This window comes from Homo sapiens, chromosome 11 (genome assembly GCF_000001405.40).
Source record: "Homo sapiens chromosome 11, GRCh38.p14 Primary Assembly".
NCBI classification, from domain to species: domain Eukaryota; kingdom Metazoa; phylum Chordata; class Mammalia; order Primates; family Hominidae; genus Homo; species Homo sapiens.
In genome coordinates, this window is record NC_000011.10 from 120794834 (window position 1) to 120822098 (window position 27265).

Genomic DNA, 27265 nt, shown 5'->3' on the forward strand with positions numbered 1-27265 from the left:
GCCTGGTGCCCCAGGTGGGGACGAAGGCATGAGTTGGCGGCGGGAGCGGCCTGCACAGTGGTGTGATTTCCTCCAGCAAGAGGGGTGACCAAGGACAAGGGGCTGAAGAGTGGGACACAGAGGACAGAGGTGCCAGATGAGTGATGGGGATGGGCTGTAGCTGGGCCTCCGAGAGTGAGCAGCCAGGGTCAGCTGGGGAGCAGAGCTAACGCACTCCCCAAGGTGCAAACTGTCACTTTTTCTTGTTAACACAGGGCTCTATCCGGCTGAGCCAAACGGCCACAGACAGTGTTATAGATACTGCCTATAAAGACTCTCCAGTAAAACCTCTTTATTTTACCCCTTAAAAGGGTAAGAGTTACCGAAGTGCATGGAAATCTTCAGCAGCGAGGCTCTGGAAGAACTGAGGGATTAAGGAGGCTGCTTTTCCAACCTGAGGGGTCACTTCTGGGCTGCTGAGAATGTGTGGAGGGAGAGCCAGCCCCAGTCCAGTTTACCCAGGGAGCAGGAGGAGAGCAGCCAGCCCCGGGGGACCCTGGAGGCCTCTGGCGGGTCATCCACCCTGCGGATCCCTGTGTCGTGGGGCTGCTGTCCGTCCACTCATCGCCTAATGCTGACTGCACCATTGCCAGGCGCCACGTCTACTACTGGCTGTAGGGGATGAAAAGACAAGCGGCCTTGAATTATTGATTCACTCAACAACCATTCATTAAGGGCCTACTGTGTGTCCAGAATTGTGCAGCTACAGAGATGAATCAGGTGTGGTCCTCACCCCAAAGGAGCTGAAAAGATAGACAAATCAGCATAATGAAAAAGTGGCTTGTGTCTAATGAAGGGTACAGAGGAATTTCTGTGGGAGTTCAAAGGAAGGGAAAATTAATTTGGGATGGGGAGTTTGGGAAGATTCAAAGGAAAGAGGGATTACTCTGGGTTTTTTTAAGTACAGCCATCTCTCAGTATCCACTGGGGATTGGTTCCAGGACCTCCCTCGGATACTAAAATCGGGGACACTCGAGTCCCTTGTGTAAAATGCGTAGTATTTGCATATAACTTATGCACATCCTCCCATATGCTTTAAATCATCTCTAGATTACTTCTTTACCTAATACAGTATAAGTGTTATGCAAATAGTTGCTATACTGTATTTTTGTTGGTGTTATTTTTATTATTGTATTGTTATTTTTTGGTTTTTTTTTCCTGAATTTTTTTTTTTTTTTTCCAAGACGGGGTCTCGCTCTGTTGCCAAGGCCGGAGTGCAGTGGCGCAATCTCAGCTCACTGCAGGCTCTGCCTCCCAGGTTCACGCCATTCTCCTGCTTCAGCCTCCCGAGTAGCTGGGACTACATGTGCCCGCCACAACGCCTGGCATATTTTTTGTATTTTTAGTAGAGACGGGGTTTCACCATGTTAGCCAAGATGGTCTCGCTCTCCTGACCTCGTGATCCGCCCGCCTCAGCCTCCCAAAGTGCTGGGATTACAGGCGTGAGCCATCGTGCCTGGCCTTTTCCTGAATATTTTCAATCCACGGTTGCTTGAATCTGCAGATGCAGAACCCACAGATATGGAGGGTGGATTATACAAGCAGTTGAGGGAACTCACAGGTACAGATAGAAGGATAAATACCCCTCCAAGGCAGTGTGCAAGGAATAGTCTGTTTGAGTGGTGGGAGTTTCTCGGGAAATCCAAGGAGAAAGAGAGCACTGTGGCTAGGGGGTCAGAGAGGGCTTCCTGGAAGAGGCGCCTGAGGGAGAGAAGAGCCCTGGTAGGGAAAGGGAGAACAAGGGACAGGGACAGCATTGGCAAAGGCATGGAGGAGAGTTAATGGGCCAGTCCAGGACTGTACATGGAGGCTCTGTCACCTTGTTGGGGGTGGAGGGGATGCTATGACCGTGGAAGCCAGACAGGACAGAAGGGGCCTGAGGCCATGCCAGAGACTCAACAGGGACAGCTCTTCAGAGAGTGGGGAGGTTCTGAGGACCTTGAGCGGGTCAGTGGCTGTATGCCCTCTCGGGGTCGCCACGGCCACACTGATTGGGGTGAGCTGGAAGGCGCTGCAGGGGGGAGGAGTCCCCTCTAGCATTGACACAAGCATGGGACAAGAATATGGAGAGGAGTTTGGGGGGCGGAGAAGGGCACAATCAAGGGGCTCCCCTTTTCTTGGCATGAGCCATAGAACTCAGAACTGGGCACAGGGTGAAGTTCTTGGGGCTCATGGGGAGAAAGGCTCAATGGAAATGCAAGGGATCCCGGCTTCCTGGGCATGCCGGAGGCATCTTGAATCCACCTGGGTTGGAAGAGTCAGTGTGCACTGAGGCCCCATGGATGGAAAGAGCGGGAAGCCCCGGGTCTCTGAACGCATCTCCCCATCTCAGCCCTGCCTTTGCTGTGGCCCCAGACCTCCCAGCCTCACTGTGGCTCGGGGCTTCTCTGCAGGGCAGTCCCCAGGGCTGGAGGATGTGCCGTATCATATTATTCCTCATTAGGCAGCAGCTGGGGACTCGGAGCGTCCCAGCCCAGCCAGGCAGCCAGGCCTGGGGGACGCAGTGCAGGCTATGAGCGTTCACTGCACATTAAGTCTTGAGCAAGCTGCTCTCCTTCATTCATCTGGTCTCCACTCCTGGGACTACTGAAGAAGCATGCTGTTTGGTAACTGCCTGTTGAGCACATGCTTCTCTGGTGTCCCAAGAGTGCCTGAGCCTCCACCTTGTCTTTGATGTCCACAGCTCTAGAGTCTGGGTACCTGTTGTCGTCCTAGTTATTCTGATCCTCATATGTTTTATGCCAGCCAACCACTGGTTGAGGCCGTTTCCAGCCAGATAGGAATCACTGTCGAAAACCTAATTAAAAGTGGTCCCTGAATCGCACGGGGGTTGGGAGGTAGAGAGGACAGGATTTTAGATGTTAGTGAGTTGGCAATGACCTGCCTAATAACTTTGAGCACAAAGTTCTGCATTAGATGCTGTGGGCAGGGAAAGAGGAATGGGGTGAAGAGAGGACCTCATCCTCCCCTTAATACAAGATTCGCACGTTCCCTATTTCCCACGTACTCATTTTCCCTCTGTCTCAAGGTGTGTGCAGTGATGCTCTGTGAGCTGACTGTATGCTGTTACATGGCAGACTGGTGTCCAGGCTGCCATAGCAAAATACCACAGACTGGGTGGCTTACCCAGCAGAAATGTTTCACAGTGTTCTGGAGGCTAGGAGTCCAAGATCATGGTGTCAGGCAATTCGCTTCCTGTTAAGGACCCTTTCCCTGGTTTGCAGATAGCCATCTTGTTCTATCCTCACGTGGCGGAGAGAAAAAGAGAGTGAGCTCTGCTGTCTCTTTTTTTTTTTTTTTTTTTTTTTTTGGAGATGGAGTCTTGCCCTGTTGTCGCCTAGGCTGGAGTGCAGTGGCACAATCTCGGCTCACTGCAACCTCTGCCTTCTGGTTTTCCTGCCTTAGTCTCCCGAGTAGCTGGGATTACAGGTGCCCGACACCACACCTGGCTATTTTTTGTATTTTTAGTAGAGATGGGGTTTCACCACCTTAGCCAGGATGGTCTCAAACTCCTGACCTCACGCAGGTAATCCACCTGCCTCAGACTCCCAAAGTGCTGGATTACAGGTGTGAGCCACTATGCCAGGTTTTGTTTTTGTTTTTGTTGTGTTTTGTTTTGTTTTTGAGACAATCTCACTCTGTCGACCAGGCTGGAATGCGGTGGCATGATCCTGTTGGCTCACTGCAACCTCCGCCTCCTGGGTTCAAGCGGTTCTCGTGCCTCATCCTCCCCAGTAGCTGGGATTACACGCACACACCACCATTCCTGGGTAATTTTTTTGTATTTTTAGTAGAGACAGGATTTCACCATGTTGGCCAGGCTGGTGTTGAACTCCTGACATCAAGTGATCCGCCCGCCTCGGCCTCCCAAAGTTCTGGGATTACAGGCGTGAGGCACTGGTGTCTCTTCTTATAAGGACACTGATCCTATCAGATCAAGGTCCCATCCTAATGACCTTATTTAACCTTAGTTTTGTCCTACAGACCCTATTTTTTAAGGCAGTAATATTGGGGGTTAGAACTTCAGTATATGAATTTGGTGGGACCTGCTGAAGTCCACAGCACACTCTTGAATGTTTACTTTGCCAAAACAAAATGGGGATAGGTGGGACTGCTGGCTCCGGAGCAGACCCTTTGGTGTGTGCTGCCTCCTGTGGTGCAGGCGTAATTGTGGCCTTTGAACACTGATGAGGCAGAGGCAGGCCCAGCGTGACTCTGAAACATGAACAACTACATCAAAACATTCCCAGTCCCCAGGCCCACAGGGGACATGCTCATTTTCTGAGAGATTATTTTACTACTTTATTTATCTTACTACAAGTGATTGTTAAATAGTTAGTAGGTTATAGATGGAAACATTGGTAACAGTGAGCTCATTTGGCCCAAAGGGAAGGATAGCTGCCTCCATGGTCTGAACACCATCTCAATGGGGTGGAGGGAGGACAGGGAGAAGGGAGGAGGGGGAGTTACCTGAGAGAGTTTTCAGAGGTCCAGGGGCAAGCCTGTTGCTATTGGTGTTTTAGGGTTCATTTACAGTCTGTAGATGGAGGCTTCCTTTACAGTCCCTGGAAGCCTCATGCACGCTCCCTAGCGCACCCCCTGCTTCGCAGCAAATCCTTGAGTTTTTATAAGAAGGAAGACAAGCTTGGTCAGGGTGCAAGGTCTGGAGTCAGGCTGACCTGGGCTCACTTCCCTCCTCTGTCATGCTTCAAACCTGTGAGAACGGGCAGATCATGACCTCTCTGACCTCCAATTCCTCGTGTCCAAGTGAAGATAAAATATCCACCTCATGGACTTGTTGCAGAGATTAAGTGAGATAGAGTCCACTAAGTGGTTATGCTGACATTGTAGCTTAATGTAAAGCTTGTGTGTCATGGATCCAGTGTCTGTCCAACTCATGCTGGATGGCACTGCCAGTTCCTGATACTTTAGATGTCTCTTTTCCTTGTTGTACAGCTTGGCTAATTTTTTCCTATTTTATATATTTATTTTGTGACAGAGTTTTGCTCTTGTTGCCCAGGCTGGAGTGCAATGGCATGACCTCGGCTCACTGCAACCTCCACCTCCCGGGTTCAAGCAATTCTCCTGCCTCAGCACCCCGAGTAGCTGGGATTACAAATGCCTGCCACCATGCCTGGCTTTTTTTTTTTTTTGTATTTTTAGTAGAGACGAGGTTTCTCCATATTGGTCAGGTTGGTCTCAAACTCACGACCTCGGGTGATTCATCTGCCTCAGCCTCCCAAAGTGCTGGGATTACAGGTGTGAGTCACCGTGCCTGGCCCCTATTATATTTTTAATAGCAAAACATTTTTTCCCACATCAACTCTTAGGTGGAACCCCAACCCCTGAAATGGATGCAGGTGGAATTGTGATGGTGGGAGCTGGTATGGGGCTGGAGACCCCAGGCAGCCTCCCCTCCACTTCTTGGAGGAGCCCAGGGGCCTGCCAGGGAGGACCATTTGAGAAGCATTCCTCTAGGCTGCCCTGCTTCCTTTCTAGTTGCAAGGTCGTCATTCTCTTATGCCACAGCATGACTGTCTCGGTTTCTGCTTTCTCAGTAGCCATCTCATTCTGGTCGTGCTTCCCGCAGGTGGGGGTGTGGGGGTGATTGAAATGTTCCCAGGCTCTTCAGTCACATTTATGGTGCTCTGGTCACTTCTGCGGGTGGCTAATCACCCCAGGTATGCGTGGACTTTGCTAGTTAATTCCCAGAAGTCCACTTGATTGCCTCGGACTTGGGATGTACCTCTGTCGCCCCATGCATGGCCAACCTGAGTAAATGACATTTAACTTTTATTATTCAATGAAGTTATGCATGTAAATAAATCCACAAATCAAGGAAGAAATGCTTTGCAATATTCTGTGTCCTGATTTTGGGTTTGTGGGATGGATTACAGTGAGTGTGGAGCAATGCACAGAAAAGACAGCATAGAACCTGGATCTCTGCGTCCGCGCAGACATTCAAGGGCCACGTGTCAGTGAAATGTATTCGGCTTGATTCCCTGTGTTGCTTTTCTGAATTCTCAACCTCTGAAAGATAAATATTTCTTTTAATGTAATGGCTTTCTTGAGATATAACTTGCATACCACGTAATTCACTTTAAGTATATAATTCAGTGGTTTCTTTTTGTATATTCACAGAGTAGCACAACTATTATCACAATTTTAGGAACATTTCATCACCCCCAAAAAGAACACCACACGCATTAGCAGACACTCCTCATTTCTCCCAACCCTAGGCAACCACAAATCTTTCTGCCTCTGTGGATTCAGCTATTCTGGACATTTCATATGCATGGAACTGTCCAATATGTATTTTTTTGTGTATGTCTGGCTTTATTTTACTTAGCCTAATGGTGTGTTTGTTTTTTCAGATGGAGTCTCGCTCTGTCACCCAGGCTGGAGTGCAATGACACTGTCTCAGCTCACTGCAACCTCCACTTCCCGGGTTCAAGTGATTCTCCTACCTCAGCCTCCCGAGTAGCTGGGATTACAGACGTCATGCCACCACACCTGGCTAATTTTTGTGTTTTTATTAGAGACAGGGTTTCACCATATTGGCCAGGCTGGTCTCGAACTCCTGACCTCAAGTGATCTGCCCGCCTCAGCCTTCCAAAGTGTTGGGATTACAGGCATGAGCCATGCGTCCAGCCACACTTAGCATAATGTTTTTAGGTTCATTCCTATTGTAGCATGTATCAGTACCTGTTATTTTTTATTGTTGAGTAATATTCCATTGTATGGGTAAACCACATTTTTTTATCTATCAATCAATCTATGGACATTTGGGTTTCTTTTTGGAAATTATGAATAATGCTGCTATATATATTTGTGTACAAGTTTTTGTGTGATCTTCATTTTTGTAACATCTCCATCAAGAGAATTAAGAATCTCTATAGCTAGATTTATTGAGTGCCTCCTGTGTGCAAGATCCTGTGTTGATCCCATGCCATATCTTGTAATCTTCACAATAGCCCAAGGCTCTCTCCACTTCCTTAAAAGCGAGGCAACTGAGGTCCCAGAGCTGTGGAGGGCTGCAGCTGGGACTGGAAGCCAGTTGTCTGTGATACCATAACATTTATCCTTAACACTGCTCCCAGAAGTTGGGCAACTGTTGGTATTACACCACTGCAGTTGTCCACACTGAATAAGTCACACTGATTAAATCTGTGTGCTGTGCCACTTCCACACATTATCTTAGTGAATCCTCACACCAACCCTGTGAGGTTGTCCTACTCTTTCTAATGTTCAGTGAGGAAAAGAGGTTCAGAGAAACTAAGTAGCTCACTTTGGTGGCATGGCCCATCGGTGTCAGAGCCTGGGGAGCCAGCATTCAGCAGTGTCTGGCAGCTGCTCCTTGAGGCCACAGCCTTCCCTCACAGACCTGGCATCCTTTAACCCTCTCTCACCTCAGGGAGAGTTTCTCATATGTTCAGAATACTATTTCAAAGGACAGCCACTACCCGCCTCACTTTGCACAATGCCTGCTTGCCTGTGTGCATGGAGACAGGTATCCAAGTATCAGGATGCCTGGACCCGGGGACTTCGTGCAGACAGGACCCCTAGTGGCCTGCTCTGGTATTACAGGATTCCCGAGGCGTGCATCCACATTAGAATTCACTTCTACACCTGGCTGCAAACCAAGACCCTTAAGCTTGGAGAGAACTTGTTCTGGGGGACGGTTCTGAGCATGGCAGGATGGAGAGGAACTTGGGGTGCTGCCTGGAAGAGGAAGGTGGCAGCAGGGGGAGGCTGGAGAAGGAGGAGGGTAACAGTAGCGGTGGAGTACCAATTGTCTCCATGTGGTTGCCTGCCCACAGCTGCTATCTTGGACGACCCCATGGAGTGCAGCAGAGGGGAGCGGCTCTCCATCACCCTGGCCAAGAACCGCATCAACCGCGCTCCTGAGAGGCTGGGCAAGGCCAAGGTCGAAGTGGACATCTTTGAGCTTCTCAGAGACAGCGAGTACGAGACTGCAGAAACCAGTACGTAGACTGGGCAGGGCTGCCTCTTCCCTTGCTGGCAGAGGATGGATGAGCAGTGGTGTGAGCTGCACCTATCAGTCACCAGGCCTCTGAGATATCTGATGTCGATATTTCCAGAGGAAGGAGAGGAACTTGAACCAGGAGGTCCTGTGAAGCTCTCAGCCTGGATGAGATTCCCAGGTTTTGTGCGAATCACGTGTGGAGTAGAATTAAGACAGGATACCCATTCATTCATTCATCCACTCATTCATTGCTTCATATATTGATTCATTCATGTTCTGGACATTTTGTCCACAAGTTCCTGAATGAAATCTCGTGTGTGATAAGAGAGACGGCCAGCCCAAGGGTATCTTAGCCACTACACATCTGACTGCTTACCTTGCTTCCTTATGCTAAGGGCGCTGTTGTGGGAGAAACTGGGACTTGGGATGGAATTTGACCACTCACTCTCTGGGTAACCTCAGATAAGTCACTAAGTCATCCTATCCTATCCAAACCTCAGTTTCTACATCTTTAAAATAGGAATACTAGGCTCTATTTTGCAAATCTTGCAGGTTGTTAGGTTGTTGTGAGGTGTTTTTTTGTTTTTGTTTTTTTTGAGACAGGGTCTTGCTCTGTTGCCCAGGCTGGAGTGCAGTTGCACAATCTCAGCTCACTGCAACCTCTGCCTCCCGCGTTCAAGTGATTCTCATGCCTCAGCCTCCCCAGTAGCTGAGATTACAGGGGTGTGCCACCATGCCCGGCTAATTTTTGTATTTTTAGGAGAGATGGGGTTTCGCCATGTTGGCCAGGTTGGTCTTGAACTCCTGACCCCAAGTGATCTGCCTACCTCAGCCTCCCAAAGTGCTGGGATTACAGGCATGAGCCACTGCGCCCAGCCTATTGTGAGATTTAAATTATTTTAAATACAGGAAAATCTGTGAATTGCAGTGTTTTACAGGCATATGTAGTAGGTCGCTCAAGTCACACATATGGAGCCCCTACTATGCGCTGGGTACTGCTTTTAATTCTCACCTAAGTGTTAAGTGTTATCACCTCCACTTTAGAAAAGAAACTGAGGCTCAAAGCCATTGAATCATTTGCCAGACCACAGAGCTAGTCAATGGCTGAGCTGGTTCTGGACCCTGTGTGCCCAGTGCAGTCCATGAGACCTCCCTACAGTCCTCCGGCCTGTTGTTTGTATTACCTTGACAACTTTACAAGACTAGGCCCAAGTTAGTGGGCTGGTGACTTGTGGCTAAGCTGGAAATGGATCAGCTCCAGTTCAGAGGGCAGGAGAAGAGCCCCTCAAATCAGAGATAATAGTATCTATTCCCTAAGACTTTGAAGAGTCCCCGTCTCCTCCCTTTCTAACCCGTTTCAACCTTTGACCACACTCAGTGGCAAAAATAAGTAAACAAAACAAAAGAACAACTTGCTCAAATACATCTGTTCTTCCATCTGAGGATCCAGCAAAGCTCCAGCCTGGGCTGTTAGGGTTTCAAGAAAATCAGTACATCCACACAGGCCCAAGCATCACATGTGGGGTGTCGTGACATCCAGAAAAGTTAAGAAGCGATGCAGGCAGTGGCTCTGGAGACTCCCCAGCCTTTCTCCCTCTCACAGCTTCCTTCTTGCTCCTGTGGTGTTGGATCCAGGCTCTTCCCTCTCTCTTAGTTTGGGTTCCCTGGTTTATTCATCATGTACTTGTCCATAATGACTACCCAGACCTGATTTACTCTCTGTTTATTCATTCAGAAACTTTTATTGAGCATTGACTCTATCTCAGGCATAATTCAGGATATCGGGCATTGGGAACAAAGCAGGAAATAAGATAGATGTGCTCCTGACCTCAGGTGGCTTTCAGTCTGTCTTTAGGCTGCACATCAGGGGCAGCTTCCCCCAGTGCCTCTTAATGTGCATCCCCAAGGTCTGGCTCTGATTGGATCAGCTCAACTTGCAGTGTGGCCAGTCTCACAAGCTGCAGGTGTTGGCCAGGCTGCCTAATAACTACTCTTGGAGAGAGGGTCTACTCCCAGTCCCTCCTGCTCCTATGACTGAGGGAGGGCCATACCATATAGAACAGGGCCATTGAGGCCAACAGGATCTGTAGGCACAGATTCCTCCCCAAGAAGGCATGGAGGAACAAGGGCCAAAATAGTCCCTCATTTATTCATTCGGTCAGTAAGTGTTTAGTGAGTGCCTATTATATTTTATTCTAGGCCATGGGGATTCAGCAGGGCACAGACAAGAATCCTAGTTGTCATAGAGGTTAATTTCTAGTATAATGGAAGGAAGATTCAGATTTCCCAGTATCTTGCAAATGAAATCAGAAATGCCAGCAACAACTCCTTGTGAACCCCCAGTCCAGTCCACAGTGTTTCCTTGTCCAGGGAGGCAAGTCTCAGACAAGGGTCCAGATTTCTAAATAGTTCAGTAGTCCATACTTTGAAAAGCCAGCCCTTCTCTTCTCGGTTCTTCAGGGCTTCTCTGGCAGAAATGAGGGAGCCAAGATTTGCCCGTCATGGATGGCATCGTTAGCAGATGTAAATTTCCTCTTTTAGTGACCCATGCAGCCTGACTTAGTAAAGTCAATATTTCTAAAATATTGAGCCAGATGAATCAGGGGAATAAAGGAAACAGGTATCTTTATTCCATCTTAGAGAACTTTGGGCATCTTTTTAATGGGCTTCTTTTAGGCACCAGGTATTTTCTTAGCAAGTGGGCCTCAGTTCAGTTTTTACATCTCAGTGTGTTTGAGGTACGATTAGCATTTGTTAGGAAAGGGGACTTCTGGATCTTCCCACTCCAAAGGCTTTTCACCTGAAGCCAGAGTGCCCCTCCACAGTGGGTTTTAAACACTACCCAGGTAAAGTTCATTGAAAGATTCCAGCCCAGTTCTTTCCCTCCCAAAGTAAGGGGGCAGGTGGGTTGTGGCTTAAGCGCCTACCACCTGTTGGCTATTGCAGGGTGGGGCAGTGACTATATTTGGGGAAGGAAGGGAGGAGGGGGACAGGATCTCTGGGTGGAGGAGAGCCCACAGCTCTGTGATCCCTACTTTGGCGAGGCTGTGTGGTATAAAAATTCAGAGCATGGGTTTTAGAACCAGACTGACCAGCATTAAATCCTGGGTCTCCCATGTATTAGCTGTGTGACGTAGACAGGCTGTTTAACCATTTTGTGCCTCTGTTTCCTCGTTTGTAAAATGGGAGTGATGGTAGCATTGCCTCATAGGGTCACTGGGAACGGTGTAGGTGAAACGCTCGGCACTGCACATAGCAGGACTTCAGGAAGTGGCAGCTGTGGCTTTTGTTGTTGGCTTCATTCTCTCACCCCACATTTGAACGGGCTTCCTCCCAACTTATTACCAGCCTCCCCCCTCTCTCTTGTTTCAAGGTTCAGCCCTACTTATGTGGCAGCACTGTCTCCAGGGCTGTTCTCGAGTGGCCTGCCTAATGTCAGCATCCATCGTAATTGGATATTCCCCTTCTCCTTCCAGTTTTCTGGGCTTGATGCATCTGATAGCTCTGAGCCTTTTAAAGTTGTGGTGAGCCACCTCAAGCCAGCTGCTGCCCAATGCCAAAGGCCGTGGTTTGCCCTGGGCTAGTGGCCCAGGGCTAATTTGCATCATTAATTTAAAAAAATGTGAGTGGCTCTGGGGCCCTGGACAACTGCCCTAACCCTACACCTGTCACCCTGTGGCCAGGGACTCTGCTTCAGGGGGATGAAAGAGACCCTAGTGATGATATCTTTGACTGTGGAAAGCAGAGGCTCTGATTGAAGCTGGGGCTGTAGCACTCCAACAGGGCACAGTTGTGCCTTACTTTGAGTAACAGGGATTTCAGAAAGCTCTGTCCACATCACACTTAATGAATCCTATTCAGGGTGGGAGAGTCAGTTGAGGGAAGCAATGGTTATTTCAAGAATCAAAGATTATGAAGTGTAAAGAAGCTAACGATGCTGGAAGCCAGAGGTCAGCCCCCTCGTCTGATGGTTGAAGGCGAGGCTCTGAGATGGAAAGTATCACACGGGGCATTAATTAATAGCCAGCCTGGAAACTGGAAAGATATGAGGAGAAATCACCCCCTGTTCTCTTGGGTTCAAATAGACAGATTTTCATATAATGGGTTTATTTAAAGTGAGGGTCACTTGTAAAGCTTTCTCCAGCCTGCATCTGACATCCCCCACCTCTGCCCTTCCACCATTATCGCCCCAGGATCTTGGTGTTTGACTTTCCAACTCCTTCTACACAGCCTACAGATCTAAAATAACAGAGATGGACAAGACCTATTAGGTCAGCTCCTGTCCCACCTGGCCCTTCCTTCTTTCCCTTCCGTGTCTTACCTGAACCTGAGCCTTTCTTCTGCAGGGAGCTACCACAAGCTACCTCCTCTGTTCCTATAGATCAGCGTTTCTCCTGCGGTTAATGAATTAGAGCTTAACTAAGCACCACCCTTTACCATTCAAACAACCTGAGGCTCCGTCCCAGCTTGAGGTTTAATTTCCTGCAGACCCAGAAGCAGGGGCTTCCCTGTCAACCCCTCCCCTGTGCCTCAGTTTGTCTCTGTGAGGCCAAGCATGCTATCAGCTGTCCGCACAGTTTCCCCTTGAAACTAGAGGCGCCCTGGTTATCCGGGCCTCCTGTGGCTCCAGTGCCCGGCGCGTAGCGTTCCAGCTCCACATGGCTGCACCTCCTGCACAGGCTTCCAAGCTTCTCACAGGCTCCACGAGCATGACCTCTGGTGATTCAGAGCTGCCTCTGAGAAGTGAGGGCTAGCATCCCTCCTTCAGTTCAACAGAGTCAGTTGAAGTTGGCTTAAGGAAAAAAAAGTAAGAAGCCAGAAGAGAAAGGCATACAAATAGTGATGAGTCATTCAGCAAACATTCCTTACTCCCCTTCTCGGAGCTACCCGCATCATAGGCATGATGTGGGCTCAGCCATGCATTGAATTGCTGTACTTAGAAATCATCTGGTCCAACCCCTTCCTTTTACGGATGGGGAAACTGAGGTTCAAGATCTTCTCCAGGAAGTTCAGATGTACACATCTGCAAAACGACACCATCTTTAGGTGGCTCTCCAGAGAACGTGCCAATGAGTGGCACAGACAGGGGAGCAGGAGGTCAGAACTAGGAGGTAGGCAGAGCAGGCTATGGGGTCAGGTGAGGCCCCTGGCCAGACCTTAGAATGTTGATTGATGAAGAGAGAGAAGAAGGCATCTAGGTAGATGGCATAATAGCATGAGCAAAGGCTTAAGGCAGGAAAAAAAATGGGATACATTGGGATGCAGTGACAGACAGTATGGCTGAAACAGAGTGTACATAGGGGCAGAGGAGAGATCCTGGCTTCAGTGTAGAGCAAGTTCTGGAGTTCAATGCACCAGGATTCTAATCCTGGCTCTACCAGCACCCTGGGCTTCTCTCCTATGTCTCACAGCCCTCCTCTGTAAAATGGGAATAAGAAGAGTTCTCACTTCATGAGGTTGTTGTGAAGATTAAATGAGATGGTGCTTAAATGTTACTTAGTAGTAGTAGAATTCATATAGTGACTCCTCCCTCTCAGGGTTGTTGTAGAGATTCAGGTGGCACATGTGCCTGGCACTTGGAAAGCCCCAGTAAATGGTATTGCTGCTTGCACGGTGGCTTGGGACCAGGTGAAGGCTTTGCGTGATACGCTGTTGGTGAGGAGAGGCGATGGCGGTCTTGAGTTCTTGGACACCAGGGGGCCCGTCATGGGGCGTGGCACTCATGCCCTCACACACTTTCTTCCTTGGCTCAAGAGCCAGCAAGGCCAATCCATTTAGTCCCCTGTCTACTCCCAGAGAGTTCAGAATGGAATGCGTTCCTGACAGCTTTGGCACAAGAGAGGAGATGGTTCTTTGGAAGTGATGAGGCAATTGTTTGCCTTGCCCTAGGATGGCCAGGGCTTCACGTGTACTCTGTGCAGTATAAACAGGCTCAGAGGGAGACTGCACCCTCTGCTCCATTCAGGCTGCAGCATCGGGAAGTGCTTCCGTGTGAAGGACTCTGAGTTCTCCCAGCCCTCCCCAGTGCACATCTCTGTGAGCCCCGTGGGGCCAGGGTTGTTTGCCATCTGGGCCCAGAGAGCACTGAGCAGCTCCTCACTGTCAGGCAGGAGGACCTGGCCCCCTGGGTCCATCCAGGAAGCTGCTCCTTCCTGGAGGGGGGCTACAGTCAGTGGCACTTACCATTAGCTCCTCTAAACCATCTGCGACACAGCCTCACCCTCCCCTCCCTGAACTGCTCTCTGTCCGGAGGAGGGACCCTGTGAAGATGCAGGAAAGGGGAAAGGAGTAAGTTCCACGACGCCCCTCACCCCACCACCCCTGTCCAGCCTGGGCTTCTAAGGGGTCTCCAATCCATTGCCAGTGCTGACATTTTGAGATGAAGAAGTCCCTCCATGGGGCCACTACACCCCATCATGGCCTTTTATTCCAGCAGCTGAGCCTTCCAACTCCTCTGCTGCCTGGGAGGAAGAGGTAAACGCATCTCCCTCCCTTCCTGTGCCTCCTGCAAACTGCTCAGAGGGCCGAGGCCTGCAGAATCAGCATGCAGGGGTTCCAGAGCTGAGACCCTTTATAAATGATTTCCATCTCTACTGAGCAGGGCACCCTTCATAGGGAACGAAAGACCAGTTCCCAGATCCCAGGAAATCCCCAGGCCATAGCCACTGCTAAGACCCTAATTCAGTTCCACTGGACTCATTTGGGATCATTTCAGTTCAGTTGAGCAAACATTTAATGAGCAATTTCTTTTTGCCAGGGCTGAATAGACATGACCCCTGATCTCAAGGCCATTTATGATCCAGTGAGGGAGATGGACACATTGACACACGTGTATGAGAAGCTCAGAATGGCAGGCGCAGGCCCACAAACCCTCGAGGCCTGATGTGTGTAGAATCCAGATTGAGACATTGGGAAGGTTGAGGGGCTGGGCGTGGTGGCTCATGCCTGTAAATCCCATCACTTCGGGAGGCTGAAGTGGGAGGATTGCTTGACGCCAAGAGTTCAAGACCAGCCTGGGCGATGTAGTGGGGCCCCATCTCTACAAAAAATAAAAAATTAGCCAAGAATGGTGGCATGCACCTGTAGTCCCAGCTACTCAGGAGGCTGAGGCAGGAGGATTGCTTGAGCCCAGGGGTTCAAGTCTGCAGTGAGCTATGATTGCTCCACTGCACTCCAGCCTGAGTTACAAAGTGAGACACTGTCTCAAAACAAACAAACAAACAAAAGAACGGTTGTGTGGTGCATGTACCATATGTAAAGTTGAATCTCCAGTAACCCCATACTCAAACAAATGCATGCTTATATTCAAATACTCACACATTGTAAATAGCTTTACATCTGTCTGTTGAGATCAGATTTTGCCAACAACTGAGTTTGATGAAAAACATCAAGTTTCAGAGCCTTTTGGACTTTGGAATTGGGAATAAGGAATTGTGGCCTTCTATAAGAATTTATTTTCAGGAGAAACTTTCCTTTCTTGGGAACCAACATCACCAGGCTGCTTGGGACAGAAGCTGGCCAGGAATTCAGAGAGCAAGGAAGCTGCGCTGTCTCCTAAAGGCGGCTGACTCAGAGCCACAGTGTGCTGTGAATATAGGGAGGGAGAGATGCCTTCTGGCCTAGGAGCAAGATCTGAGCTGGATGCTGAAGTATGAGTGGGAGTTTGCTAGGCAGAAGGGCAAGAGAAGCCTAGACCATGGTAGTCTGGAGATGCTAATGAATCCCTTCTCAGATAAATGTTTTTAAATGAATAAAAACCTTTTTATTAATAAAAAAGGATAGAAAATAAATAACAAAAATCCAATAAAATGGATAGGGTGACTATGGAAACCAGCTATATGGAAATGCAGTTATATTTTAATAGTGGTATACTAATATATATGCTTCTTCATTAATGTATTAAATAGCATCGAGCCTAATTACTACCATAATCTTGAAGTAATAATGAATATAACTGGTATTTGAAGATATCCTTAGCACTGTAGTGTCATATGAAAACTGCGGTGATTTCTGTGGGAAACAAAGTCACAGGTGCTATTAACACACTGTAGTTTGTTGCCTACATTCAAAATGGAAAGAAATGCTACATTTCACTTAGGGGTTAGAGAAAAGAATGATGTAATTCCCCCCACAAGTGTTCACAGACCCCTGACTTCTACCCACAGACCCCAGGCTACAGGTTAAGAACCCCTGATCTAGAGATAGCCATTTGGGAACAGGATCAGGCAGGAAAATATGTACAGAGTATGTTCTAGGTGAGCTGGCATGCAGCGGGAGATGGCACGGTGGGAGAAGGGGCTGCAAAGACAGGACTTAAGGAGACCAGAGTCACTCGAATTTTACTTGCTCATCAGAAGAATGTTTTTATTATAGCATTGTATTCTTTATAATATGTTATAAAAAGGAATACATGCTCATTATAGAAAGTAGTGAAATGAAAAAAGGGAAGACAATAACTCAGTGTTCCAGTGGCCAAGGCAATCTACAAACATCCCAGTTAATTGCCATTTGCTGGGGATGGCTGTGCGGTGCAGTGGTTAAGGGGCCGGTCTTTGGGGAAATGGGTGGAGCTGTTGAATCTTGACTCTGCTCTTTAATTTCTCTCTGTTGATTTTGTATCTGTAAAATGAGAATGACAGTAATAGTACCTATTTCCTCAGTTTGTTTTGGGAATTAAATATGTCAGTTCCCGTAAGAGTGCTTCGAACGGGCCATAGTTAACACTCAGTACATGTAGTCTTTAATAACATCTTCTCATAATCATTCCTCAGTGTATAAGTACTCTCTGTATTTGCTTAGTTGTAGCCTTCATATAGATATACATATAATTTTATATCCTGCTTCTGTCTCTTAGTATTATTAAATAAATATTTTTAATACTATTATAAACTGTTCATAAGTATTTTAAATGCCTAAATAATATTCCATTTGGGCATACAGCCCACATTTTATATACTTATTCCCTTATGATTATACATTTAGTTTATTTCCAGTTTTGCATGGAAGGTGTTGAGTGGGCCTCAGTGTGGTTCAGCAACTGTTTATAGGCCACGTAACTCTGAGTCAGGCCTTGTTCTAAGTATGGAGGACACAGACATAAATAAGACAGGTTCTCTGCCTTGGGGGCACACTCCGATCTACGTTTTAGGACTATAATTTGCCCCACCGTTTAAAGAATGGATTGGAAATGAAGAATCCTGGAGACAGAGAGACTCCCTTAGAAGGGCAGGTTATAAAGAGGGGTTGACCTGGAACCATGGCAGTAGACGTAGGAAGGAAGGGCTGGCAGAGAGTGAGAAGGTCAGATGGTCGGAACCTGGCCCTTGACCTGTAAAGCAGGAGAACAGCTTGAGTGAGGGAAGGCAAGAAAGAGGCCAGGATGACTGTGGCTTTGAGCTTGAGGAGATAAGAGGAGTAAAGTAGAGTGGGTAAGAGCACTGGCTTTGGTGCCATGTCGATCCCCAAGTTCAAGCCCAGTTTGACCTTATATTACCTGTGTGATCTTAAACAAGTTACTTAAACTTTCTAGGCCTCAGCTTCCCCAGCTGTAAAGTGGAGATAAAAATGAATTTTCCTCATAGAAGTGTGGAGATCCAACCAGATTGTGAAAAATATATAACAAATCTGATATGGTGGGGATAATAATAAAAGGGTCATGTAGCATGTCAGGTACCATTCTGAATGTTAAGTATTAATTCACTTTAATTCTCACAGCAACCTTATGAGAGAGGTGTTATTAGTATCTTATAGGTGAGAAAACAGGCCCAGAGGTTTGATAATTTGCTCAAGGTCTCGAAACTAGTAAGTGACAGAGACTCAAACCCAGACAGCCATGCATCAGACTCCAAGCTCTTACAGAACTGAGTGTGAGATGCCAGAGGGAAGGCCCTGTGGCAACGTCCAGCAGGTGGTTGGAACTTGACTTTGTGACCCAGCACATAGGTGAGAGTGCAGGGTCATCTGGGCAGAGACAAGGGTGGAGGCTGTAGGCAATGGTAAAATGGCCCAGGAACAGTGAGTCAGGGGCAAAACCTGAATTTGGTGGGTGGGAGAAGGAAGAGGAGTCAGCAATGAGTGAAAGACTGACCAGAGAACTGGAGGAGAATCCAGATTGCACGGTGTTAGGAAATTCTAAAGAACAATGCAATCAGAACAAGTGCTGCAGAAAGAGAACAGGATGAGAATGGATAACAGGTCATGGTGACCTTGGAGAAAGTGGATTCAGTAGACGAGGTGGGCGGGGGGACCTCCACTGTAAGAGGCTGAGAAGTGCTGGGTGTAGGAGTGGCTGGCTGCAAGGAGCAGTGCAGACAAAGTAAGTGGCTGTGAGAGAGGAACATGAACCCTGGATGCGGGTCAGGAGACTTGAATCCAGATGCCAACTCTGGCCTTGATTAGGTGTGTGACCAGAGCGGAGGCACTTCACGTCTCTGGGGTGCTGTGTCCTTACCAGTAAAATCAGGAGATAAGACCCCACTCCCCCAAGGCAGTTGTAGGGATCTGAGGGGATGATGAACTTCAAGCACCTAGTGGGCTGTAAGAGTTAAGTTGGCTGAGGTCACATGAGATAACCCCCATGGAAGTAGCTTGGAATTTGAAGAGACTCTTCAAAGATGAAGCCTGATCATCACTACTTTGGCCAGACACTTAGTACTGATGAGTCCTCCAGTCAGCTGAGATTTTGGGATGTTGTGGGATGCCTGCCCAAGCCATAGGCTAAGAGAAGACTCCAAGATCTATAGTTCATATGGTAAATTGCAATGCTGGGATTTGAACCCTGGTGTTCTGCCTTGCTGCCTGTACCCCGTTCAGATGATCACCTGGCTGTATTGGACTCTAACCCAGAAGAAAGAGCGTCCATGTGGCAGGTGTGGCTTTACAGCTGGCTCAGTAAGAAACCTTGTACTAGTCCCTTAACCTCAATTGCTAGGCCAGGGAAATTGCTCTGCCTGACTCCTAATACAAGTAGGAAGAAAATACATATGGAGTTAAGCCTTGAGTTTTGCAGACAAGGATGCAGTGGGGAACCTCGATTGCATTTTCTGAGGGACGGCCCCTTGGCTCTGATACCACAGTGTGTGCACGGAGAATTCTTTCCTGTCCTCTCTCACTGTGTTTCCCTCTTTCTCCCATCCTTCCTTTCTCAGTCTCTAGCATTTTAAAATCTTAGATTCTCTCCCCCTCCTCTGATTACACATCCCATTCCTTTAGACATTCACACAGCAAATCTGAGCTGGGCTCCTACTCTCTAGAATGCATTGTGCTGGACACTGAAGAGATGAGAAGTGGGGATTGGGAGATAAATGTGGCTCAGTTCCTGTCTTCAAGAGGTTTGAAATCTAGTGAGAGGAGAGCACTAAACAACAAACCCAAATAGATACAGTGTCTTAGACTAGAGGTATGAACCCCAGGCCTTGGGAGCCCAAGGCAGTGTTAATTCCATCTAAAGGAGCCCAGTGGTGGGGTGCGGTGGCTCATGCCTGTAATCCCAGCACTTCGGGAGGCCAAGGCAGGTGGATCACTTGAGGTCAGGAGTTCAAGACCAGCCTGGCCAACATGGTGAAACCCCGTCGCTACTAAAAATACAAAAATTAGCCAGGCGTGGTGGTGGGTGCCTGTAATCCCAGTTACTCCTGAGGCAGGAGAATTGCTTGAACCTGGGAGGCGGAGGTTGCAGTGAGCCGAGATCGCACCACACCACTGCACTCCAACCTGGGTGACAGGGTGCGACTCCATCTCAATAAATAAATACATAAATAAGCCCAGGAAGGTCTAAGGAGAAGGTGGTGTCAGAACTGATCCCGGACAGGTGAGCGAGTGTTCAGTCCAGGAGGGAAAGGCCAGATGCCAGGCATGCTGGTCGGTCAGGACGGGACCTGCTCTACCTGGGGGAGGGAACATGCCAGGCTTCAGGACGAAGTGAACGACGGGGGCATTGACAGATGAAACTTCTTTCTGCCTCTCGCTTTCTCCCTGCCTCCCATTTTCTTTCCCTTTTTCTTGCCTCCGCTCCTTTTGACTTTAGCCACCCCTGCTCTCTTCCTGTCTGCGTCATCCTCGCCCTCCTTCATACCCCCGCCTGCCTGCCTGCCTTCCTTCTCCCAGACTCTCTTTATATTTGGGGGGACTAATGCAGCAGCTGTGCTGGGGCTCCCCCTACCCCCCTGCAGGCCAGGCCAGGCCGTGGGATGGAATCTGCAGGTTTGTTCCATTAGCCTCTGTCCTTCTGTGACAGTCCAGACAATTTATACACCCTGTTGGCTATGGCCGTATGTTGTCATAACCTGGGTCATTTCCTCATTTAATGCTGCCCATAAACTCCAATAAAACTGTCCTGGAGCCCAGTCGTCCAGGGGAGAAGGAGAGACTCTGGGTTTCGAAGGGTTGGAGCAGGGGCCTGGGCAGCGGGTGTGCAGAAGGTGAGGGGGCAGCGGGTGAAGAGGAGAGGACTGGGCCATGGCGCAAGCCCGACCTGATGAGTGCTTTGCTTCTTTCCCTGTCCCTGCCGCTGGCTGCAGTGTGTCAGATCCTCCCCAAGGGGGTGGTCGCTGTCCTCGGACCATCGTCCAGCCCAGCCTCCAGCTCCATCATCAGCAACATCTGTGGAGAGAAGGAGGTGAGTGTGAGGCAGGGCTGGGGAATATCTGTGTGCTGGAGCCTGTGCCCAGGGTCCAAAGATAGGGTTGATTCTCAAGGGCTGGAAGAGCCTGTCAAGGCTGGGTTGGTATCATTAATAACAACAACATAAATACAAATACAGAAGCAGTGGGCTTGCCCTGCTCCAGGATGTTTGCATGGAGGGGTCTCGGAGGAGGTGTTTGACAGCAGGAATCTGAAGCGGAGCTCCTCCCTGTCTTAGGGTCCCATGGCGGTGCCCCCAGCGGCCTCTTGGTGGTGGTGGGTAGAGGGAGAGGCTGGAGAGGCTGATGGGCATGGCAGGCCAAGCGGGCAGACGTCTGAGCGTCCACTCTCGTGTCCACGTGAGCAGCTCCCTGGTTATCTGTTTACATATCGGGATTCTGGGGAAGAATGCCTTCGGGGAAGGCATTGCCACATTTTATTGCTAAAATAAAGTTTGAAAGCCTCTGTCATATAAGTTCTCTAGAAAAGAGATTTTATCTTGCTTTCTTCCTCATTCACCAGTTCCAGTGTTTGCTTCTTCAAGCAGCACATTCTTCCTCAGATGTGACTCGAACTGGAGGCTCTCCAGTTTCAAAGTGTTGAGTCCATTTGCTCTAGTTCTGTTTCCATGGGAGAAAAAAAATGGTAGGGCACAAGTTTCAGAGTGACTGCCCCCCTCCCTATTCTGCCAACTCTCCCCCTCCTTTTTCCCCAGAGAAGACAAACTCAGAAATTCAGAGATTCTGTCTAGTCCTGGCATCTTTCCTGGTCCTTCCTGGATCCATCAATCCTTCCCCTTCAGATATATCCTCGGGAGACAGTGAGAAATTGGCCCCTTAGCCCCTGTCTGCCCCAAGGGCCTTCCAGCCAGGTCCTTAGGGGGCAGATGGAGCTTGGTGGTCAGGCATGAGGTCAGGAGCTGGGTGGGGGCGGGGGCAGGGACATGGGAGGAAGGCTCAGTCTCGCTTCTGCCCTAGAGGCCTGGAGGCTCAGCCTTCCAGAAGCTCTAGTCTCAGGAGGACACAGTTCTTAGAAACAGGAGGAACACTTGCTGCAGGAGGGACTGGATGCCTCCTCAGTGAGCCGCTCCTGCCAGGGCAGGAGCAACAGACAGTCCTCTGCCCACCCCATGCCTGCTGGGAGTCTACCCCTCTGATGCCACCACTGTCTCTTATGATCCAGGGCTCAGTGAGTCCCTGACGCTTTGGGCAGAAGAATATTTATCTTCCCGATTTTAGGAGCCCACTCTCAGAATTGTGTGCACGTTTAAGTGCCGCGATCCTAGTCCTGGTCGCGTTGGTCCTGCTCCTCCAGTAGCTGGGCCTCTCTCTGTAGGCTGTACCCTTGAGCCTTCTTACATGGGCTGGGGCTGACAAGTCCCCATCCTCCTCCCGGTCACATATCCTCAAATACAACTCTGAGGCCAGCCCAGGCCACAGAGGAGCTCTGTCCTACTAGGTCCCTCCCAGCCTCTCCCAGGCCGTGGCCCAGGAAGTTAGACCTCACGTGTAATTTACATCTTTCTTGCGGCACTCTGAGAAACAGCTTAAATCTATGGCAGGTCATTATTGTAGCAGTGGCTCTGATCTTCACTAAGTGGGGCAGCCAAGACTTCAGCTCCCCATCTTCTCTCTTCTGCATCCTCTTTTTCTTTCCTCCTCTCTCCCTTCTCCCCCACCACACAGTCTTTGCTGTGCATCACATCCTCCCCCAAGCCCCACTCCAATATGGCCTCCTTTTGGGGTTCAGTGGCTATTTAATCTCAGCCAACACATCCCTTCACCCTGTCTGGCATTTCAGGCCAGAAGCCAAGCCCATGATCTGCAGCCAACTCCTCTGCCCCTGTGCCAGACCAGCCAGCCAGACTGCACTGCCCTGGGAGTGGCCAGACGCTTACCCGCCTTTGTCTGGTTATGTTTCTTCTAGAGCAACTTTTCCTCTCTGCTCAGATTATGCATTTATTTTAATGTTTTATGAGGCTGAACTGCCTTATGCTGATTCTCCCCTGCTCCAGGGAAAAGCAATGGAGTTCTCACCCAGGAGTCCATTGCTTTAAATGCTGCTGACATCTCTGCAGCCCTTGTGGCTGGCTGCCTTCTGCCTTGCTGCTCCCCTCTCCATTCTGCTCACCTCTTCTTGTCCCCCACACACCTCCGTGATGGCTTCCTGGGATACATTTGCAATTGCACATTGAGTATAGATCGATCTTTGTCCCAGAGAGGGAACCATAGGACCAGGACTGGGCTGGGCTATCCCTGCCTAGACCCAGCAGAGCCCAGTGGGCTTCAAGGAGACTGTGCCGAAGGCTCCCCATCAGCTCCCCTTCCTCAGCCCTCACCCCCTGTACGCACAACTCCAAGAGCTTTGCGGGAGCTCCTACATTTGGGGAGGAAGGAGAAAGAGCCTTGCGCAAGCACTTATTATACATTAGGTATTGAACTATTATATACCCTACACACAGGTTCACATTTTATCCTCCCAGAGCTCTAAGAAGCACCTGTGGTTATCTCCATTTTAATGATGTTTTGACAAGTTAAGTGGTTTATCTGAAAATCACACAGCAGAACCTGGATGCAAACCCAAGTCTGTAGACTCCAAAACCCATTTGTTCTTCACCTTCCTGAGTCCTTCCCATCCATCTCTAGGATCCGTGGATTCACGGTATCTCTAAGGGGTCCACAGTACTAGGGGGTGCTAAGGGGTTGTGCTCTATTGGATTCGCTGCTAATGGAATGTGGTAGGCTAGAGGGTTACACAGGGACGACCTTGGTCAGAGGTGTTCAAACGTTCAAACCAGCCAGCCAGGCTACCCTGCCCCTGTCGGGCCTTCCCCTCTATCTTGCCCATTTGTGACCTTTTCCTTTCAAGGTCTGTTTGTTATTCACTTTAGACAGAGTGGATGGGATACAAAATACAAGCGGGAAGAAAGATCCGTTATGACACAGATCAATGTCACTCTTTAGAATTGCCTTTCATAACTCACCAGACTCTCCCCCATTCTGCATTTTTCAGTTTCTGGTGGAAAATATTGGTTGCCCTCTCCCTATGGTTTAAAGGCTAATCCTAGTTGAATTCAGAAGTTTTTCCCCTAGTTTCTGCTAAATCTTTATCCTCTTCCCACCTCAGTCTCAGAGGAGCTCTGGTCTCCAGCTGACTTCTCCCAAAAATTTAAAAGGATAAAGTAGGAGACTCCTACAGAGACCATCCCAACATCTTCGCAGACTCTTGGCAGGATAAGTTGTGGGCCAGAGCAGGCAGAGACAATTCTTCAGTCATTTCTGAATAATCCATTCTGGAAGCCAATCTACTCACCACCAGGAAGTTCTTCCTGCTGTCTACTATCGATCTTCCTTGCTTTAACATCTATACACACTGATATTCAGCTTCAGCTCGCTCAGCTCTGGACACCAGGGGTGAGAGTGGAAGAATAAAATCAAGGTGGATGGCAGATTATTACATTGTAACTTTCCTATTACCTACCAAATAGCCTAAGCCGCCAATAAAGCAGCCATCACAGCCTCTTAAGATCTTTTCCTGGGAGAAGAGAGGCAGAAGGCAGGACAGTGGGTCCTGGAAATGTCAGTAATAGATGCAGAGGGAAGCTGACACTGTCCTAATGAAGCCAAACCACGTATTTATTTACCTGGCTGTGTTCAGAGGTTCTCTAGATGGTTTCTCCGCCTGCAGGGCTTCCTTCCTCCATGTGCGCATGTGTGTCTGTGCGGGAGCCCATCCCCGCCCCACTTCCTCTCCCTGGGCATTCCCCACTGAAGTTTGTTGGGAGCTGGTTACTATACACCTGTTGGCTGGGCTGGGCTGATGGGACTCTTCTCTTAGTCCCAGGGTAGCGATTTTTCTCTTTCTGCCGTCTCTGCTCTGATGTATTAACTACAAATAAAATATTCTAAGGATTATGCTTTCAAGAGCCAACTGTCTCTCTGCCAGCAGCAGGCAGTTCCTCTAAGAATAAAGATAGATTCTTTTGCCTTCTCAGGACCACAGACCCCAGCTTGCAGACCCACGGTGCATTCATCCGGGTCTCTGGACAAATAGTTTTCTGTCCTGGGGCTGCTTCTTTGAAGCATCATCAGGGATGTCATCGCTCGTCTTCCTCCCACGGAGTGGGTGCCCTGGGAGCTCCTTCTCCCATTGGTGTCTGGCGAAGGTGTTACATAAAAGAACTCACCCTCCACAACCTCAGCTCACTCATCCCTCTTTCTTCCTTTTCACCCACCTGGATCCTCCCTGCTGTCCGTTTTTGCTCCTCTTGCCAGGTCCCTCACTTCAAAGTGGCCCCAGAGGAGTTCGTCAAGTTCCAGTTCCAGAGATTCACAACCCTGAACCTCCACCCCAGCAACACTGACATCAGCGTGGCTGTAGCTGGGATCCTGAACTTCTTCAACTGCACCACCGCCTGCCTCATCTGTGCCAAAGCAGAATGTAAGTTTCCCCAGGCTGGCTCTGCCCCAGACAGTCCAGTCTTGTTGATTTTGCCCTGATTCCCTGTGCCCCTGGCTGGAGACCCTCCAGGAAGGGGAGGCTTCCTTCAGATCCACAGGGCTGATAACCAATGGGTTTGGGCATTCCCATGCTCATGTGTCCGTGTGTGTGTGTGTGTGTGTGTGTGTGTGTGTGTTTAAGAGAGAAAGAGAAAAAGAGAGAAAGAGAGAGAGAGATGGGGAGGGAGTCCATCCAGGAGTACTACTTGCCAGGACTCCCTGGGCATGAGTGGAACAGAGGGGAACTAGGTTACAAGGAGACTGGCCAACCGCCAAGCCTTTTTGCATCTGCAAACTCAATTCCCACATTCTCAGCTTCATTGTCAAGGAGATACAAAAAGAGAGAGAGGGAACATATAAAATTGGATGCATTTGTACTTGATGGGTTGAAGAACTTCTTCCCCTGGAGAGCAGGTTTTGCTGATGGAACAAGGTCCGAGGTCAATTCCTGATAAAGCATTTTTTAGCAAATGCAGGTTTTGGAAATGTGTTTTCTATGACTCTCAGTCAATTTGTGACATAAATTTAGTGTTTATGAGATTTAGCTAATTTAAGCCAGCACCTTCCAGCAAATCTGTGCATCTGTGTGCTCCCGGCGGCAGCTGTGCACCCACATGTGGTCAAACAGGTGCTGGCCACTGGCTACTGCTGGAACCCAGTGCCTGAGCCCCAGGCACCTGTGTCCTGCGCAGCTCACCTGTCCAGGGCTTACCTGGGGGTTTTTATGGGTTGCACTGCAGAGCGATTCCATCTTTATTAGGGCTCCTTTCTATGGCTTCTCAGAACTGCTCTGCCTTCTCAAGCCCTTCCTGCATCCTGGAATCCCCACAGTCTCCAAATACAAAAGCCACCTCTCTATTAAGAGTCAGAACCACCTACTTTCCCAGACCTCTGTGCCTGGCATGTGCTTTAATTCATTTATCCAGTACAATTTTATTGAATATTCAATCTGTGCTACCCAAGAAATCAAGGAACTGAGTTCCAACTCAGCTGTGACCACCCAGTGGGTTTGGAGGTGTTAGATCTCCCCATTTCAAAGTTGAGGAAGTTGAGACTCTAGGAGGTGAAATGACTTGCCCAAGGCCACACAACTTAAGCACCAGGGCCCAAACTCAAATACAGGCCTCCTCACTTCAAGTTGAAAGCTCTTCCAGAGCCCTGCAGTGGATGCAGAGAAAATAGGGCCCTTGCCACTGATCTGAGAAGGCCCAGAGTGGTTTATGCTAAGTGTCAAATGTGCAATGTGGCCAGTCGAGGAGAGTGTCCCTGAGTACAGGGTGCTAGATAGGCTTTGGGATGTGGGCAGGGCTTCAACTGGATCTCAAAGGATAAAAATGATTTAGAAAAGGAGGGAAAGAGATAGGTCATGCCAGATGAGGAGCAAGAGAGGGAGGCAGGGATCCTGATGCTGTGCCTAGGGGAAGTAGGTTGGAGCCTAGAGTCCATGCTGGATAAAGATGGAAAGAGAGGCTGGGGAAGGTAGCAGAGATCCTTGTAGCAGGCAAGGAACATGGACTTGGTCCTGTGTCATCTGCGAGCCCTTGAAGGTCACTCTCTAAGGAATGTCTTCTAAGGCGAGGCAGTTCTCATCATGGGTGTGCCCTTGTGGAACAACTGGTTTTGGGTCTGTGAAAAGGGCAAAGGAGTTGGGAACTGGAATTAGACCCAAGGAGCTGGGGACCCTCAGACGTGGAGAAAGAAAGTTGAACTCAAAGCCTTGTTCAACAGGCAGACCCTGAGTGGCACCAGCAAGTTGGGTGCATTCAGGAGCACTCCAGTCCATCACTCAGGCAGTCAACAGGCGTCTTCGAGCATCTCCTGGGTGCTGGGCACCCTTACACTCTATGTACGGCATAAGAGAGCAACACGCAGCCTCTGTTCTCAAAGATGAAGCAGACTTGATGGAAAACTAAGCAGGGTCGATGGTCATGAAGCAATTAACACAGTAAAATCGGTGCGGTGGCTCACACCTGTAATCCCAACACTTTGGAAGGCCAAGGTGGGAAGATCACTTGACATCAGGAGTTTGAGACCAGTCTGGCCAATGTAGTAGAAACCCCGTTTCTACTGAATATGTAAAAATTAGACGGGTGTGGTGGTACGCGCCTGTAATCCCAGC

The 27265-nt window shown here is 49.0% G+C and overlaps 1 protein-coding gene and 1 long non-coding RNA gene across 23 annotated transcripts in view, besides 3 other annotated features; one reads left to right on the plus strand and one right to left on the minus strand.

Moving 5' to 3' along the window:
• Positions 1 to 27265, plus strand: part of GRIK4 (glutamate ionotropic receptor kainate type subunit 4) — a 477159-nt gene that overhangs the window by 283086 nt on the left and 166808 nt on the right. For 21 of the 22 annotated variants that reach the window (NM_014619.5, NM_001440404.1, NM_001440403.1 and 18 more), the window contains 3 exons: positions 7860 to 8024; positions 20545 to 20642; positions 24922 to 25087. In NM_014619.5, coding sequence (NP_055434.2) covers positions 7860 to 8024; positions 20545 to 20642; positions 24922 to 25087 — 429 coding nt within the window. The remainder of the gene's footprint in view (positions 1 to 7859; positions 8025 to 20544; positions 20643 to 24921; positions 25088 to 27265) is intronic. The other variant, NM_001440410.1, reaches the window with a different exon arrangement.
• Positions 1867 to 2368: an enhancer, noted in NCBI's record as "H3K4me1 hESC enhancer chr11:120667409-120667910 (GRCh37/hg19 assembly coordinates)". NCBI's record gives its function as "activates a minimal SCP1, AML or CMV promoter by ChIP-STARR-seq in naive H9 embryonic stem cells {active_cell/tissue: H9 hESC(naive)}" and the evidence as "EXISTENCE:reporter gene assay evidence [ECO:0000049][PMID:30033119]".
• Positions 2369 to 2868: an enhancer, noted in NCBI's record as "H3K4me1 hESC enhancer chr11:120667911-120668410 (GRCh37/hg19 assembly coordinates)". NCBI's record gives its function as "activates a minimal SCP1, AML or CMV promoter by ChIP-STARR-seq in primed H9 embryonic stem cells {active_cell/tissue: H9 hESC(primed)}" and the evidence as "EXISTENCE:reporter gene assay evidence [ECO:0000049][PMID:30033119]".
• Positions 3897 to 4571: an enhancer, noted in NCBI's record as "OCT4-NANOG hESC enhancer chr11:120669439-120670113 (GRCh37/hg19 assembly coordinates)". NCBI's record gives its function as "activates a minimal SCP1, AML or CMV promoter by ChIP-STARR-seq in naive H9 embryonic stem cells {active_cell/tissue: H9 hESC(naive)}" and the evidence as "EXISTENCE:reporter gene assay evidence [ECO:0000049][PMID:30033119]".
• LOC105369532 (uncharacterized) lies at positions 16512 to 24282 on the minus strand. Its single transcript, NR_133008.1, has 3 exons — positions 24128 to 24282; positions 20499 to 20626; positions 16512 to 16645 (listed from the first exon to the last, which is right to left on the minus strand). It is a non-coding gene; the product is annotated as an uncharacterized LOC105369532 (long non-coding RNA).